Genomic DNA, 17,014 nt, shown 5'->3' on the forward strand with positions numbered 1-17,014 from the left:
TATATTTTAAAAAATGTAAATCTTAACCCATAGAACATACAGCAAATGAAGAAACATTAAAGAAAATCTTCTAAATCTTGGTAAGAGAAACAAAATCTTGTGCACTTGTTCTGCAATCTGCTATTCCCTGTCTGATGTCCGAGCCCAGGCATTGAAGGCTCTATTCTGGAATATGTCGTCAAGAACAAATGGTTCCCTCTCCCCTCAGGTTCCCAGGCTAAGGCTCTCTCCCTAGAACGGGAAGGCTGTGGACATCTCACCCTCATTGGTAGGGTGGAAAGTCTACTTCTACGAGACAAAAATCTTGGACCCCAATCACCCTGCCATGCCTCATTCATAGGGCATTCTGGAAGGCGTTGAGAAGACCTGGGACTATTGCCCTGACCGAATAACCCATGCATAAAAAGGGCCGCCATTTTGACGGAAATCAGCCACTGTTCCTGCCACCAGCTTCAGAGAAATTGCACACAGTATTATCCCAGAAGGAAAAACAGGGTTGTTGCTCTCTGTGAATGAACTAACTTTATTTGTGAGAACATCAAGCCTAAGGATACAGTCGAAAACAATGGTGGTTTTTGTGAAAAGTAATTATAAGGAGTCCGGTAGCTACATAATAGCAACAAGCTAAACAAGTTTAGACATTAAAAGAGAAAACCATGCAAAGAAACAGCTAAAAGAGAGATCTCCTGAGATCAAAACAAGATTCAAGATGACTCAATGATTCTCCCTGCAAAGATCCCGAATTTCACCGTTTTAGGTTTTGGAAGAGTTTATGCCCGGGATATTGACAACAATACTGTTTTTGTTTTCAGTGAGCAAATAGTGGAGGCTACAAGATAAGTGTGATGTCAACAGAGGTAGATCTACTAGATTTTTAACAGACCATCAGGGAAAAAGTCAGTCAAAGGGAACCCTGCTAAAGTACTGTCATTCTAGGGTGGCTGTGTGCCGCCTTAGAACAACTTTTTTCAGCATGCTACTTATGCCCTATGAGTGAGCCATGGTTTGCAGGCTCTGAGAAATGAAATCAGAGGCTACATACTTCGGGGAAAACGGGCTTCACTAAAGTAGCGCAGCCAAGTATCTAAATAAAAGCAAACAACAACAGGCTCTGGAAGTGAGTTCAGGTTCAGCAACTCAGTAGAATTGCAATAGTATACTATCTAAAATATTCAGTTTTCAACAACATATTATAAGATATGTAAAGAAACAGGAATTTGATACACAAGAAGAAAAACAAGCAAAAGAGACTTTTTGAAAAGGGTGGGGTATCAGGAGACAATGGCTTAAATTGATAGTATAAATATATTCAAAAAAACTAAAGAAAACCAAGCTTAAAGAAGTAAAGCAAGGTATAATGACACTTTCATTAAACCAAGAACATCAATAAAGAGATTAAAATTATAACAGAATCAAATAGAAATTTTGAGGTGAAAAGTACAATAATTGAAATGACAAAAAAATCATTACAGCCTCTCACCAGTAGTTGTGAGCTGGCAAAAGAAACAGCAAATTTAAAGACAGATTGATAGAGATTAAGCGATCTGAAAACCAGAGGGATAAAAAGAGAATGAGGAAAAATCAACAGAATCTCAGAGAAATGTGGGACACCATGAAGCACATCACCATGCCTGTAATGGGAATATCAGAGGAGAAGAGAGATTGGAAGGGGCAGAGAAAATACTTAAAAAAATAATGACTGAGGCCAGGTGTGGTGGCTCACGCCTGTAATCCCAACACTTTGGGAGGCCGAAGGGGGCAGATCACGAGGTCAGGAGATCGAGACCATCCTGGTTAACACGGTGAAACCCTGCCTCTACTAAAAACATAAAAAAATTAGCCTGGCGTGGTGGCAGGCTCCTGTAGTCCCAGCAACTGGGGAGGCTGAGGCAGGAGAATGGCGTAAACCCGGGAGACGGAGCTTGCAGTGCACCGAGATCGCGCCACTGCACTCCTGCCTGGGCAACAGAGCGAGAATCCGCCTCAAAAAAAAAAAAAAAAAAAAAAAAAAAGAAAAGAAAAGAAAAAGAAATAAACTGAAAATCTCACCAATTTCATGAAAATATTTCCACACACAATCAAGAAATTCAACAAACTCTAAATAGTATAAATGCAAGGAGGTCCTGTGCACCCAGCCACAAAATAGTTAAAATGTTGAAAGACAATGACAAAGAGAAAATCATGGAAGAAACAAAAACTCCTTCTTACATACAATAGAACCAAAATAAGATTAAAAACTGACGTCTAAACAGAAACACTGGGTAATTTCTTAGGATTTCTGAATAGCCTCAAATCTAGTATCTTAAGCAGAAACTTTAGGCCAGTCAAGAGAGAGGAGAATATTGAAAAACATTTTTGGTGACTTACTAGTCACGATTCTCCAGAGAAATAGAATTGGTAGGATGTAGCTAGTTGGGTAGATGGATGGGTGGGTGGACAGATAGACAGATAGGCAGATTGATTGATTTATTTTAAGGAACTGGCTCATGTGATTGTGGAGGCATGGTAAATCCAAAATCTGACCTGGGAGGCTGATTGGCTGGAGACTCAGGAGCAGTTCAAGTCCAAAGACAGTGAGCTGGAAAACCAGGTACAGCCAATGCTGCAGTTGAAGTCTGAAGGCAGTCTGCTGGAGAATTCTCTCTTGTTTGGGGAGATCAGCCTTGTGTTCTATTGAGGCCTTCAACTAATTGGATAAGGTCAGCCAATATTATAAAGTACAATATGCTTTATTCAAAGTCTACCAATTAAATCTCATCCAAAAGCATGCTCATGGAAACATCCAGAATAATGTTAGACCAATTATCTGGGCACTAAATGAACCACCACAGTAACCAGTGAAGGGTTCCTTTACTGACAGTTCAAGAACAAAGGGAATAACATCTGTGGCTTATTAAATAGCACTGCCGGTCATCCGAGCACAGACAAATATTATCTAATGATCATTTATTTAATTTAAAAATACTCTTAGAACATATTCATTTAAGAACGTGTAAAAATACTTTAAAGGAAGGAAGTAAAATTCAATTGAATGAAAGCAGTACTTTTGACCTTTGCTATTTAGATTATTTTCCAGTGTTAATTCTTTTTTTTTTTTTTGCAATGCATTCTCTCTCTTAGAAGCAGCTGAAAGTGTGCCAATTAATTACTTTTCATTTTAGTTCACAATGAGTTTTTTCTTTATTTTCATAACCTCATGCTAATTTTCTACTTCAGTGAATTTAAGACAAAACAAAATGAATCTATTTCAAATAGGCAAAAATTAACCCAATATTTCTTTTTCTATTAAGAGGCACAAAACCCTTTTAAACTTTCATCTATTGTTAATTTATATATTCAAATTTTAGCTTATAACAAAGGTTATCACTCCTCTATCATTTCAATTTGTTTTCGGCCACCTTCTCCATCATTTCAATGATAGTACTAGTTTGAATAGTCCAAGGTTATGAAATGCTATGTCATCACAGTTTGACAACATCAAGTTAGGGTGGTGGCTTGCAAGGCCAGATTACTGCCATTAATGGCCTAATAGTAGTCAGTTTATTGCCATGGTCACCATTCACCAGAATGTTCCTCCTTCCCGTAGTGTGGTTACCATGCACCAGAGTTGCCCCCTTCTGCTAACTATGTGGAAGATTCTGAAATTTATCATATTCAGATATAGAAGCTTTATTTGTCGTTACACACTGGCAAGAAATATAAAATAGTATCAATTGTGGATATTCAGGGAAGATATATAGCTTTCTGATAATCTCATTGCCTGGGCTTGATATTAAGTGCATCTACTCCCTAAGATCAACAGAATTTGCAGCCAGAAATTTTCTTCACAACGTCGATTTTTAAATCTAGAATCACTGAGTGCTGAAAGATGATTCATGCAGATATATGATGTTACGCCTGTTCAGATATTCTTACGATACCAAATAATCTCACTGTCAGAACATGTATCTGCTGGATTCAGAGGCTTTCTTGCCTGAATAGACTTAGACGTCAATGCCACATTTTTGTTGCTTGGTTTCCTTTTTGAAGACTGTATTAGTTTGTTACGGCTGTAATAATAATATAGCACACATTTGGGATGGCTTAAGCAACAGAAATGTATTATCTTACAATTATGGAGGCTAGAAATCTGGGACAAACGTGTGAGGAGGGTTGGTTTCTTCTGAGGCTTAGTCCTCTCTCCTTGCCTTGTACCTAGCTATCTTCTCCCTTGTCTTCACATGGTCTTCCCTCTGTGTGTTTCTTTGTCCCAATCTCCTCTTATTATAAGGACACAAGTCATATTTGATTAGGGCCAACCATAATGGCCTCGTCTTAAAATAATAACCTCTTTAAGGGCCTGATATCCAAATATAGTCACATTCTGAGGAATTTGGGGTTAGAACTTCAACATAGGAATTTAAAGGGCACACAATTCACTACAGAGACCCCAGAAGATTATCTCTGTTCTTTAGAGGTAGTCATCTTTAAACGTGGTTTGATATAATTGTCTAAGCAAGAATTGTGTTCAAAATGGACAAAAGATAAATCTATATCACATAATCTAAGTATAATTAAAACACTGCATTTCTATAAAATTGAGACTTGCTGTATTGACCAAAAACATTACCAGCAATAAGTTGTAATGCTTTGGAACACAACTTTGTCGTGTTATTTAAAACTAATCAGTTACAAATTGTAAGAATTTGATTCATTGGTAATCATTAACAGGAATTTATATTTATCTATAGATGAAGTAAATTATACATGAAGTCCTACTTAGAAAGTGATGGCTCACTGTGTTTTTCTATTTTTTGACAATATTATCTTCTGACTATTACATACAAAACCAATGTAGAAAATGTGGAACAGAGTCAGCAAGTAGAGCATAGTTGAAGATGTGATCAGAGGTGTAAGAGGCAGGTGCATTCGGCGACAATTTCTGCAGGGGAATGTAAGAAGTTTGGCTTTTACTCTGTAATGACAACCCCATGGCAGTTTTTAGGACATAATGGTGACCACAGAGTAGACTTTGAATAAAAAAGAAAATAAAAATTACTAATACCTTCAAATGTTCACTCATATGAAGTACTAAAATTTGGTAATTAGGCAAGTGTGTAAAATAAGTTGATACAGCTGTATAAACGTGTGTATATAAAATATTTTCTGTAGGACAAATCATCTGTTATACAATCATGCTATTCATAAATGTCAATAGTAGCCACAGATTTTTAGATAGACTAGTCACTGAAACAGTTTGGGTAATCATACAAGAGTTACATATCCAGAAGTTACTGAAGGAATTCAGTGGAGTCAAGACACCAAGCAGAAAGCTAAAAATGTTATCAAACTCTGGGAACAATTTGCATTCCCCCATTCCTTCAAAGGATATATTGAAGTGCTAATCCCCAGTGCTTCAGGATCATTGTAGATGTAATTAGCTACGATGAACTCATACTGGAGTAGGGTATGCACTTAATCCAATATGACAGGTGTCCTCATAAAAAAGGCCATGTGGCCATGTGAAGGCAGAGACACACAGCGAGAATGCTATGTGACAACAGAATCATAGGCAGAGTTACGCAACTGCAAGCCAAGGAATGGCAATGATTGACAGCAAGTCACCATATGCTAGAAATAAGCAAAGAAGAATTCTCCTACAGACTTCTGTGGGAGCTCAGCCCTGCCTACACCTTAATTTTAGACTTCCAGCCCCTAGAACTGTGACCGAATACATTTGTGTTGTTTTAAGCTACCCAGTTCATGGTAGTTTGTTATGGCAGGCCAAGGAAAATAACACAGGATCTAAAGTGCTTCTCCAGGGAGTACTTTGTCATTTATGATAACATCTATTTAAGTGAAGGTTACAACTCTGCTGAAACAGAATTGTTTCCTTCTAGCCCAACTTTACCTCTTAAAGGCAGAACTGGTCTAACAAATATGTAGTGTTACCTGATGTGGTACTGCTACTTGGATAAGAAAAACAAAAACAAAAACAAACAAAAAACCCCAAGAATAAGGAAACTCCAGAAATAGATATACACATGTATGGAAATTTAGAATATGGTAAAACAGGTATCTAAAAATTGAGGTATATCAATTGGATTAGGCAACAATCAATATTTGTGGAACTAAGTGGCCATCTGGAAAACTATTAGATATATATTTCATAATTTACAACAAAATAAATCCAAATTTTACCATAAAGTGTGAAAAAAAATATAAAAATAATTTTCATTCTACCTCACCCAAAAGGCAGCCTGTTAAAACAAAACAGAAAATTTAGGACTATAAAAAATACTGATAAATCTCACAATATTAAAGAAAAATCTATGCTAAATATGCAAAGGATAGATGAAAAATGAGTGTGATGATTACTGTTATGTGTCAACTTGATTGGGCCATGGGGTGCCCAGATCTTTGGTTAAACATTATGCTAGGTGTATTTTTGAGGGTGTTTCTAGATGGAATTCGATTTGACAAACTGAATAAGGCAGATTACCCTCCCTAGAGTGGGTGGGTCTCATCCAATTCCTTGACGGCCTTAATAATATCAAAAGGCTGAGTAAGAAATAATTCTCTGTCTCTGCCTGACTGTCTCCAGCTGGGACATTGATATTCTGTCTTCAGAGTCATACACAGATTGGAATTTATGGCATCAGCTTTCCTGATTCTCAGGCCTTCAGATTTGGACAGGAGCTACACATCAGTTCTCCTGGGTCTTCAGCTTGCCAGCTGCAGATCTTAGGATATCAAAGTTTCCAAGCCTCCATAATCATGTGAGCCCATTTTTTAAATAAATTATATCTCTCTGTCTCTGTCTCTATTTCTCTGTTAATTTTCTTATGGCTTCTCTTTTTCTGGAGAACCTGATAGATACAATGAGTTAAAAAAATCCAATTTATTGACAAAATTCAGAACTTTATATATATATATGTGTGTGTGTGTGTATATGTATATATGTGTGTATATATGTATATACACACATATATACATATACACACACACACATATATACATATATATACACATATATACACACATATATACACATATATATATACATATATACACACATATATACATATATATATATACATATATACACACATATATATACCTATATACTTCTGTAAGTCAATAAGAACTTAGCAACATGGTCAAAAATGAGCAAAATATCATAAAAATTAAAAAATAATGGAAAAGAATGGAAAATAAAATGTAAATATTTGTATTTACATTTTATTTGTATAAAAGACTTTGAACATCTTTTATAAGACAAATTTGAATTTAAAATAAAACAAGTTACCATTTTTCACCTCTCAGGTTGACAAAGATCAAATATTTGACATTATCTATGTATTCAAGAATTAACATAAGAGATACTGCAATAAAGTGAATATACTGGTATTTTCTGTACAAAGGGTAATTTTGCTATAGGCTCCAAATTAAAAGTATACATATCCTATGATTGAATAATTTTATATCATAAAACTATATTCATATTTTTAAAATAATGATGTATTTTTGGCCTTATTTATTGCAACATTATTTTTCATAGAAAATATCATCAATGAATGTTCAGCAACAGAAAATTGATTAAATAATCTATTGTACACTATGATAAGCAATGACATACTCTATATCTGTAAATAAACTAAGAAAAAGTTAGCTTAAAGAAAACTGATTTCCTTTAGCATGATTGATAATGAATCAGTTATGAAGCTCTTTTAGGACTAATACGGAAAAACTTATAAGTTATGTTGCTATCACCAAAGAAAAGCAAGGTGTGCTACAGTGTACACACTGTATGCTATTATTTGTAAAATAAGGACACATGGAAAACACACATATAGTTTTATATATACGCACACATAAACATGTGTATATGTGCATATACACATATATATGTGTGTATATATATATATTTAATTGCTGATGTGCATCTGTGACTATATATGTGTTTATATCTAACAACATGCCAACAAAATTGGTGACTATAGTTTTGCTCTTCTTAGAATAGGAAGTTCTTGGGCTGAGCAAGAAATACAAAAATTTTTATTGTGTCCAGTTTTCTATGTATTTTTAATTTTTGATATCTATAAGTGTCCAGTTTTCTACATATTTTTACTTTTTGTATCTATATGTATACTAAGTTTTAAGTGTTCAGCATAATGTGGATAATGGCATATATCTTTCTCAAATTCAGACTCAATTATTTTGCATTCCTCAAATAGAGAGGTTTTCATATGACCCTTTAATTGTACTCACCTGGGACTGAGAGACTTTGATAAAATAAACAGAAAGTGAGTAATATAAAGAAAGCAAGCTTTTGCATAAAATGGAAATAATGTGGAATTGAAAAATATTGAAACAGGGAAATTACCCAGTGGCATGTATTAACAGGTTTTCCCAACATGACTACCATAGATTATTGAAATAAGAGAATTCACCCACTACAATGATATCACATATGGTCCACATTCCTACTTGCATTACCTATTGATATGGTTTGGCTCTGTTTCCCCATTCAAATCTCAGCTTGAATTTCAATAATCCCCCACATGTCAAGGGCAGGACCAGGTGGAGGTAATTGGATCATGGGGGGCTGTTTCCCCCATGCTCTTCTCTTGATAATGAGTGAGTCTCATGAGATCTGATGGTTTTACAAGCCTCTGGCATTTCCCCTGCTTCCACTCACTCTGTCCTGCCACCCTGTGAAGAAGGTGCCTCCTTCTCCTTTGCCTTCCACCATGATTGTAAGTTTTCTGAGGCCTCTCCAGCAATGCAGAACTGTGAGTCAATTAAACCTTTTTCCATTATAAATTACCCAGTCTTGGGTATTTCTTCATAGCAGTGTGAGAATGAACTAATACACTTGTCCTAGCCTTGAATCATTCATAAATAGGTAGAGAATAAAGGCATATACAAGAGCAGAATTTAATCCTTGTCCAAGAGAAATTTCCTTGAAAAAAGAATCAAAATATCATGTCCCAGGTTAAAACTGGTACACTGTCTACCACTTTTCCCATCAAGATGTGAGGTTTATTCTTCTTTCACTTGAATGGGGATTGGCTCTGTGACTGTTTCACCAATAAAAAAACATAGTTAACAAACTAAGCCAGTTTGTTAATGCTACTGGCAATCTCTGATCCTTCTTTCTTAGCATACATGCTTTGGGAAAAGCCAGCTTCAGTGTAAAGGATTTGAATACACTAGACTAGCATGCTGTGAGGAAACCTAAGCTAGCCACATGGAGAAGCCACATGAAGGGATCACGTGGAGGGACAGAGAAGTAGGGGGAGAGAGAGAGAAGAAAAAACCCTTAAACCTCAGATGTTCCAGGCATCCAATCTGTGTTTCTAGGCATATACGTAAGGAACACACCTTGCCTATTCGCTCAGTCAAGCTTACACATGACTCTGGTCCTATTTGCCTTCTATCTGGAACCACACAAGAAACCAAAAGCATCAAATATCCACCTGAGACAATTAACCATCAGAAATATGAGAGATGATGACAAATTTTGGCTTTGAGAGATTGTGTGTTATATAAGGTTTGGGGGTGATTTGGTACAAAGATATAGATAATGAGAAAAGAAATTACTTTGTGAGAGTGAATTGCTACTGTGAATTTTTTTCCTTAATGAAGATATGTGAGATTGGCTTGGGAATGGGCAGCAGGCCTGTTTAAAAGGCCTTAAAAAGACTGTTCATAAATGACAGGTAGCAATTTGTTATGAGGCTATTTACAAAAATGTGTTTTTTAGTGACAAAAATTGGTTATACCCTCATGTGTGGTAAAGTGGAAGTAGAATACATTTCTGCTGAATTTGTAGACTTGGCTAAGTAGATTTCAAGGTAAAACTTTATGAAGTCCATCTGGTTTCTTGTAGCTCTGCTTGATAATGTACAGGTAGAGAGAAAAACTGAAAAAGGAAATGTTCTGTCTCAAAGTAGAAAATAGAGAAATTATTTCTGAGGCAGCATTTGTTGTGTTCAGAAATGAAATGTTTTCTAATCTCCAATCTCTCCCAGGAAAATACTCTTAAAATAAAAAATGTCTTGAGGGCAACGAATGAATTCGGGACACTGGTCATGTTTTCAAGAATGACACTCTGAGACTCTCAGTTAAACCCTCAGAAACATGTAATGCAGTGGTTCATAAATCCTCTCTGCTAGACAAGCAGTCCTGTAATATTCTCAAGGGTATTGCCCTAAGATGCTCTGACTTGGGTGACTTGTCTAATGAAGTGGATTATAATTTAAAGTCCAAAAATTTTTAAAGTAATTTTACCTATTTTGGCTAATTTATGTATAAATTAAGGTCACCATCTTCTATGGGTGCAGTTTGTGGTGCCCTAAAACAATTACAATAGTAGCATCAATTTTTCATGGGCGGAAGCAGGCTATGAAATCTATTTAGCATGACAGAAAGAAAGATAAAGAAAGAAAAGAGAGAAAGGGAGAGGAGAGGGAGGGACAGAAGCAAGGAAGTAGGACCATTTAATATGCAAAAAATATGACTCCAAAAACAGAACTTAGCAGGCGGAATGAAGATCCACATAGAACCACCCTCCCAGAGCAGGACTGGGCGCTAATCAAGGAACAAGTGACATGAGACTGACTATATTTTAGAATTCCCCTGGACCTGTGACTTCTCCATGCCTTCCTTTTTCTCCTTTGTTTAGAATAAGAGTCATCTACTGCAGGTTCCCACGTCTCTTCCCTTTGTATGTCAGGTGTGAGGAGGACAGATGACTTGCTCCTATAGTTTGCAACTTTAGGTAAACAGAAATAATACTTAAGAATCCAAATACGAAAAATTGTTCCAAAATAGCCTTATTGTCACCTGGAGCTGGTTTAAATGACAAGATCTGGGAACTAAAAACTGAAATTGACTTCATTACAGGATGAAATTTTGGGAATTTTAGGAGGGGGTGAATGTATTTTGCATTTACAAGAAATGCAAATAATGTATGTCCAGAGGGTAGGTTAAAGATGGATGTCCTCCACCAAAAGCTGAATTTGCCTCAGACCTGTGACTACTCTATAACTAACAGAATGTGTCCGAGCCTTGCTGTGCCAGTTTCAGTTCTAGCATTTGAGAGTAAGTGGGGAGGGGCACAGTGGATCATGTCTCTAATCCCAGTGCTTTGGGAGGCTGAGGTGGGAGGATAACTTGAGCAACACAGCAAGACCTTATCTCAAAAAAAAAAAAAAAGAAAAATGAAAACAGAATGAAGAGTAACAGGGACTTCTGTTTCCTAATGTCTAGGAACACTGGGGAGTAGCCAACTGCCAAGTTTAAAGTCCTATTGACCTGAGAGTAACTCCCTGCAAAAGAGCCCAAGACTGTCATATGGAATGGCCTCATAGAGCAAGAGAGAGAACCCAATTGTTCCACTCCTTACATTAGAATTAGTTTCTCATTGCTGCTATAACAAATTACTGCAAATTCAGTGGCTTAAAACAACACAATTTATTATCTTAAAATTGTGAAGATCAGAAGTAAAAATGTGTAACTGTAGGCTAAAGTCAAGGTGTCAGTAAGGCCGATTCCTTCTGGAGACTTTGAGAGGTAGGTCTCTTTCTCTGTCTTTTCTAGAATCTAGAGGCTCCCTGCATTTCTTAGCTCCTTAGGCCACTTCCCAATAATGGCATCTCTTCAACCTCTGCTGCTTAGTCACACCTTTTATTTCCCCCCTCTGTCTTGCCCCTCTCTTTTAAGGACCCTTGTGATTATATCAGTCCACCCAGATAGTCCAGAATATTCTTCATTTTAAGATCCTTTAGATAATCACATGTGGAAAATCCCTTTTGTGAAATATTCACATGGTGCAGGGATTATTAGGTATGCCATTTATTTCTGGTGTGAAAGGGGCACTATTCTACCACACCATCTGAAGTTCCAGACATGTATGTTGCTATGAAAGCTGTCTTGGCTCATCTGGCCAATTCGAGCCTTCAAAAGACTGCAGCTTTAGCCATCATCTGAGAGCGAACACATTGCAGATCATACACAAGAACTGTTGGGCTGAGTAAAATCTACAGAAATATAAAAGTTAGTATTAAATTTTTTATTCTAAGCCTTAGCTTGTGGTTGTTTGTTATACAGCAATAAATAACCATAATTCTGTAATTGATAAGACCAGGATTTCCTAACTACGTATCCGGGAAAATAAAAAAGGCTGTATACTGGGTCAAGGTAAGTTGGGTTGGGAATAAAGAGGAGTGCTTCCTCGGGATTCTAAATACTGATAGTGCATATGCAATCATTCCCAGTCACTGTGATAAAGGTTGCAGGGTTCCAAAAGCCTATCTGTGGATGTGGGGTAAAAGGAAGCACTACATACACAAATTGCTAACATGTATTCCAAGGAATTTGTTGTAATTTCAATGATGGAATACTATTGATGTGTACATAATGAATATGTTTTTTTAAATGCCACTCTTATCTAAATGAACAGGTTATAATATCTTCCTTCCTGATATTTAATTGGTTTTGTGGAGTGAGGTTGCATCAAAGATACAGACTGTGGATAATATGAAACATTGCAAATTCTCTGACAGACTTCTAATTGTTGTTCAATGTCTGTTTTGTGTTACTTTTTATGATAATAGTTGAATGTTGCTCATACACCTAAGCGTGGACTACAATTTCCAGCTCCTTTCATATCATGTGATAAAAGCTGGGTTGGTACATGCCACTTTTGCGTCTTGATTGTAACATATGGATGCTCTTCTTTCCTTTCGTTTTCCTTTTGTGCATATAGATATGGATACGGAAGACAGTGTCCACATGAATAGGAGACTATTTGGTGAGGAGATAAAAAGAGCTTGGGACCCTTACAGTCTTTCTGAAATTGAGATAATCCTCCAAATAGAGCCACTAACTTCCAGACTATGAAGTAAAAGGAAAAACAGCAACAATAACAAGAACCTTCTATCTTATTTAAGCCATTACATTTTATAATCACTTTTTGTTGTTGTTCTTGTTATTAAGGTAAAAGCTAAGTGAGGTAAAAGCATAGTAGTTAAGATAAAAGCTAAGTTTACCCTAACTACTATAAACCTGGAGGAAGATTTATTCTCACCATTACATACTCTTGGAGAAATAAAAAGTAAGACTTTTATTGCAAAAATGGTGACTGCATAAATCTTGTATTATAGCCTTGGTTAGCTAGTAAGCAAGAACAGCAACGAGATGAAATTACATAAAGAGAACAATAGTCATTTCTCCAGATATGTGATTGTGACTGTATTAGTTCTGAATTCCTGTGTAAGAAGATACTCTAAAATGTAGCAGCTTAAATGACAAACATTTCTTATCTCTCAATTTCTGTGTCAAAAATCAAGGCATAGCTTAGTTGGGTGTTTCTGACCTAAAATTTTCTATAGATTGTAGCAAGCTGTTGACCAGTAATCAAGCATCTCAAGTCTTGACTAGGTCTGAAGGATTCACTTCTATGCTCACTCATAGCTTCCTTTGTTCCTCCTGGGCTTTAGGGCTAAGGCATCAGTGTCTCACATGGGCCTCTGCATAGGGCCATTCACAGCAATGTAGCACCTTGCTTCTCCCAACACTAGAGGTAGAAGAAAGGAGAAACAACAATACAGAATCTAATATCTTTACAGACATGACTTCAGAAGTGAAGTGTCATCACTTTGCTGTAATTTTTAGAAGCCAGTCAGTAAGTTCATTCCATCTGCCACAGAAGAAGTTTCTACAGGAGAATCGATAGCAGAAGACAGGGATCATGGGTGGCCATCTTAGAGGCTGCCTTTCACCCACCGTAGAAAGCAAAGTTTAGCAAACTCAAGGAAAATGTCTTTTTAGATAGAACTTACTGACAGCTTCTTTTTCATCTCTTTTGCAAAGATAGAGCAATCTGCTTTTCCACCAGAAGGAATGCCGCACATTGTTACAGGCCTGCCTCAAGTACGCTTATTATTTCTTATTATTTTCTCAAGTAGTAAAGAATTTTCTAAACTAGTAAAGAATTCTGATAGAGATGTTCATCATTTGTATGGTTATCCATTATGCTGATAATAAGGTAGTAAGTTGGACAGAGGCAGAAAAGCGTTTTGATCTGGTAAAAGTATCAAAACATATTTTTAGTTTGTCAGATTGTTCTGATTAAAATATAAGAATATGTGGATCATTTCACAAATTACCTTGCTATGTCTACCTTGGACTGGAGCTGATAGGCCACTTAGGGATAGTCTAGCAAGGTAAACCATAAATTGTTGATCACTGAAAACATTCAGAGATGAGAATGAAACACAGAGGTAGTAAGAATATTTAGAGTTTGAAGAAATAATTTCTAAGACCTACACCAATTATTAGAACCTAAGTACCAATTTAAAAGATAATAAAGTGTTTTTTTTAAACTGAAGTGAACAGTGTTGCAGTGGTCATTGGGTGAATCTATAAAACTTTTAGAGCAAGCATCCCTTATGCATCTCGTGGAGCCCAGTGATATGGTTTGTATGTGTCCCCACCCAAATCTCAACTTGAATTGTGTCTCCCAGAATTCCCACATATTGTGGCAGGGTCCCAGGGGGAGGTAATTGAATCATGGGGGCTGGTCTTTACCGTGTTAGTCTTGTGATAATTTATCATGAGATCTGATGGGTTTACCAGGGGTTTCCGCTTTTGCTTCTTCCTCATTTTCTCTTGCTGCTGCCGTGTAAGAAGTGCCCTTCACCTCCAGCCATGATTCTGAGGCCTCATCAGCTATGTGGAACTGTAAGTCCAATTAAACTTCTTTTTCTTCCCAGTCTCAGGTATGTCTTTATCAGCAGTGTGGAAATGGACTAATACAGTAAATTGGTACCAGTAGAGTGGGGTGTTGCTGAAAAGATACCTGCAAATGTGGAAGCAACGTTTTAACTGGGTAACAGGCAGAGATTGGAACAGTTTGAAGGACTCAGAAGGAAGCAGGCAAATGCGGGAAAGTTTTGAACTTCCTAGAGACTTGTTGAATGGCTTTGCTCAAAATGCTGATAGTGATATATGGACAATAAAATCCAGGCTGAGGTGGTCTCAGATGGAAATGAGGATCTTGTTGGGACCTGGAGCAAAGGTGACTCTTGTTATGTTTTACCAAAGAATATGGTGGCATTTTGCCTCTGCCCTAGAGATTTGTGGAACTACGAACTTAAGAGAGATGATTTAGGGTATCTGGTGGAAGAAATTTCCAAGCAGCAAAGCATTCAGGAGGTGGCTTGGGTACTGTTAAAGACATTCAGTTTTAAAAGGGAAACAGAGCATAAAAGCTCAGAAAATTTGCAGCCTGACTATGGGATAAAAAAGAAAAACCCATTTCTGGGGAGAAATTCAAGCCGGCAGCAGAAATTTGCATAAGTATCAAGGAGCCTAATGTTAATCCCCAAGACCATGAGGAAAACATCTCCAGGCCATGTCAGAGACCTTCCCAGCAGCCCCCCTCATCACAGGCCTGGAGGCCCAGGAGGAAAAAGTGGTTTCATGGGCTGGGCCCAGGGTCCCCATGCTATGTGCAGCCTAGGGACTTGGTGCCCTGTGTCCCAGCCACTCCAGCTGTGGCTGAAAAGGGCCAACATACAGCTCAGGCTATGACTTCAGAGGGTATAAGCCCCATGCCTTGGCAGCTTCCATGTGGTGTTGAGCCTGTGGGTGCACAGAAGTCAAGAATCTCCACCTAGATTTCAGAAGATGTATGGAAATGCTTGGGTGCCTGGGTGAAAGTTTGCTGCAGGGGCGGGACCCTCATGGAGAACATCTGCTTGGGCAGCGTGGCAGGGAAATGTGGGGTTGGAGGCCCCACACAGAATCCTTACTGGGGTGTTGCCCCCTGAAGCTGTGAGAAGAGGTCCACCATCCTCCAGACCCCAGAATGGTAAAACCACCAACAGCTTGAACCATGGGCCTGGAAAAGCCACACACACTCAATGTCAGCCTGTGAAAGCAGCCAGGAGGGAGACTGTACCCTGCAAAGCCACAGGGATGGAGCTACCCAAGACCATGGGAACCTACCTTTTGCATCAGCGTGACCTGGATGTGAGACACGGAGTCAAAGGAGATCATTTTGGAGCTTTAAGATTTGGCTGCCCTGCTGGATTTTGGACTTGCAGGGCCCTGTAACCCCTTTGTTTTAGCCAATTTCTCCCATTTGGAACAGCTGTATTTACCTAATACCTGTACCCACATTGTATCCAGGAAGTAACTAGCTTGTTTTGATTTTACAGGCTTATAGGTGGAAGAGACTTGCCTTGTCTCAGATGAGACCTTAGATTGTGGACTTTTGAGTTATTGTTGAAATAAGTTAAGACTTTGGGGTACCCTTGGGAAGGCATGATTGGTTTTGAAATATCAGGACATGAGATTTGGAGGGGCCAGGAGCAGAATGATATGGTTTGGCTGTGTCTCCAATCAAATCTCAACTTGAATTTTATCGCCCAGAATTCCCATATGTTGTGGTAGGGACCCAGGGGGAGGTAATTGAATCATGGGGACTGGGCTTTTCCATGCTATTCCCAGGGTAGTGAATAAGTCTCATGAGATCTGATGGGTTTATCAGGAGTTTCTGCTTTTGCTTCTTCTTCATTTTCTCTTGGTGCCGCCAGGTAAGAAGTATCTTTCACCTCCTGCCATGATATTTGAGGCCTCCCCAGCCATGTGGAACTATAAGTCCTATTAAACCTCCTTTTCTTCCCAGTCTTGGGTATATCTTTATCAGCAGTGTGAAACTGGCCTAATATAACACCAGTGATCTTATAATATTTGAAGTATCAACTACAAAGCTACAAACTGAATGAAGGCTCCAGGAAAGCAGTTCTACAGCAACAGAAGCTAGGCTATTTCACCTGAGAGTTGCTTGAAGACACCTTTCAGTAGTGTATTTTAAATAGACAATTAGGCAGTTATTTAAGAATAGGCAGAACTGTACTTACCACCAAAGGATGTTAAATAACACTAAGAGAACAAAGTCAGTCATCTCTTGCATGATTCTAAAAAAATATTTTAAGAAAACTGAGGTACTTAAAATAAT

The 17,014-nt window shown here is 37.7% G+C and overlaps 1 long non-coding RNA gene across 7 annotated transcripts in view; it reads right to left on the reverse strand.

Moving 5' to 3' along the window:
- The window catches only part of LOC105377177 (uncharacterized), a 250,124-nt gene that overhangs the window by 117,853 nt on the left and 115,257 nt on the right, over nt 1–17,014 (reverse strand). Inside the window, exon 1 of one of the 7 annotated variants that reach the window (XR_001740791.3) lies at nt 14,578–14,996. The exons of 5 other annotated variants lie outside the window; for them this stretch is intronic. This is a non-coding gene — a long non-coding RNA (uncharacterized LOC105377177). Of the gene's footprint in view, nt 1–2,523; nt 2,830–14,577; nt 14,997–17,014 lie in introns of those variants that run through there. One more of the 7 variants, XR_001740790.3, reaches the window with a different exon arrangement.

This window comes from Homo sapiens, chromosome 3 (assembly GCF_000001405.40).
Source record: "Homo sapiens chromosome 3, GRCh38.p14 Primary Assembly".
Taxonomy (NCBI): domain Eukaryota; kingdom Metazoa; phylum Chordata; class Mammalia; order Primates; family Hominidae; genus Homo; species Homo sapiens.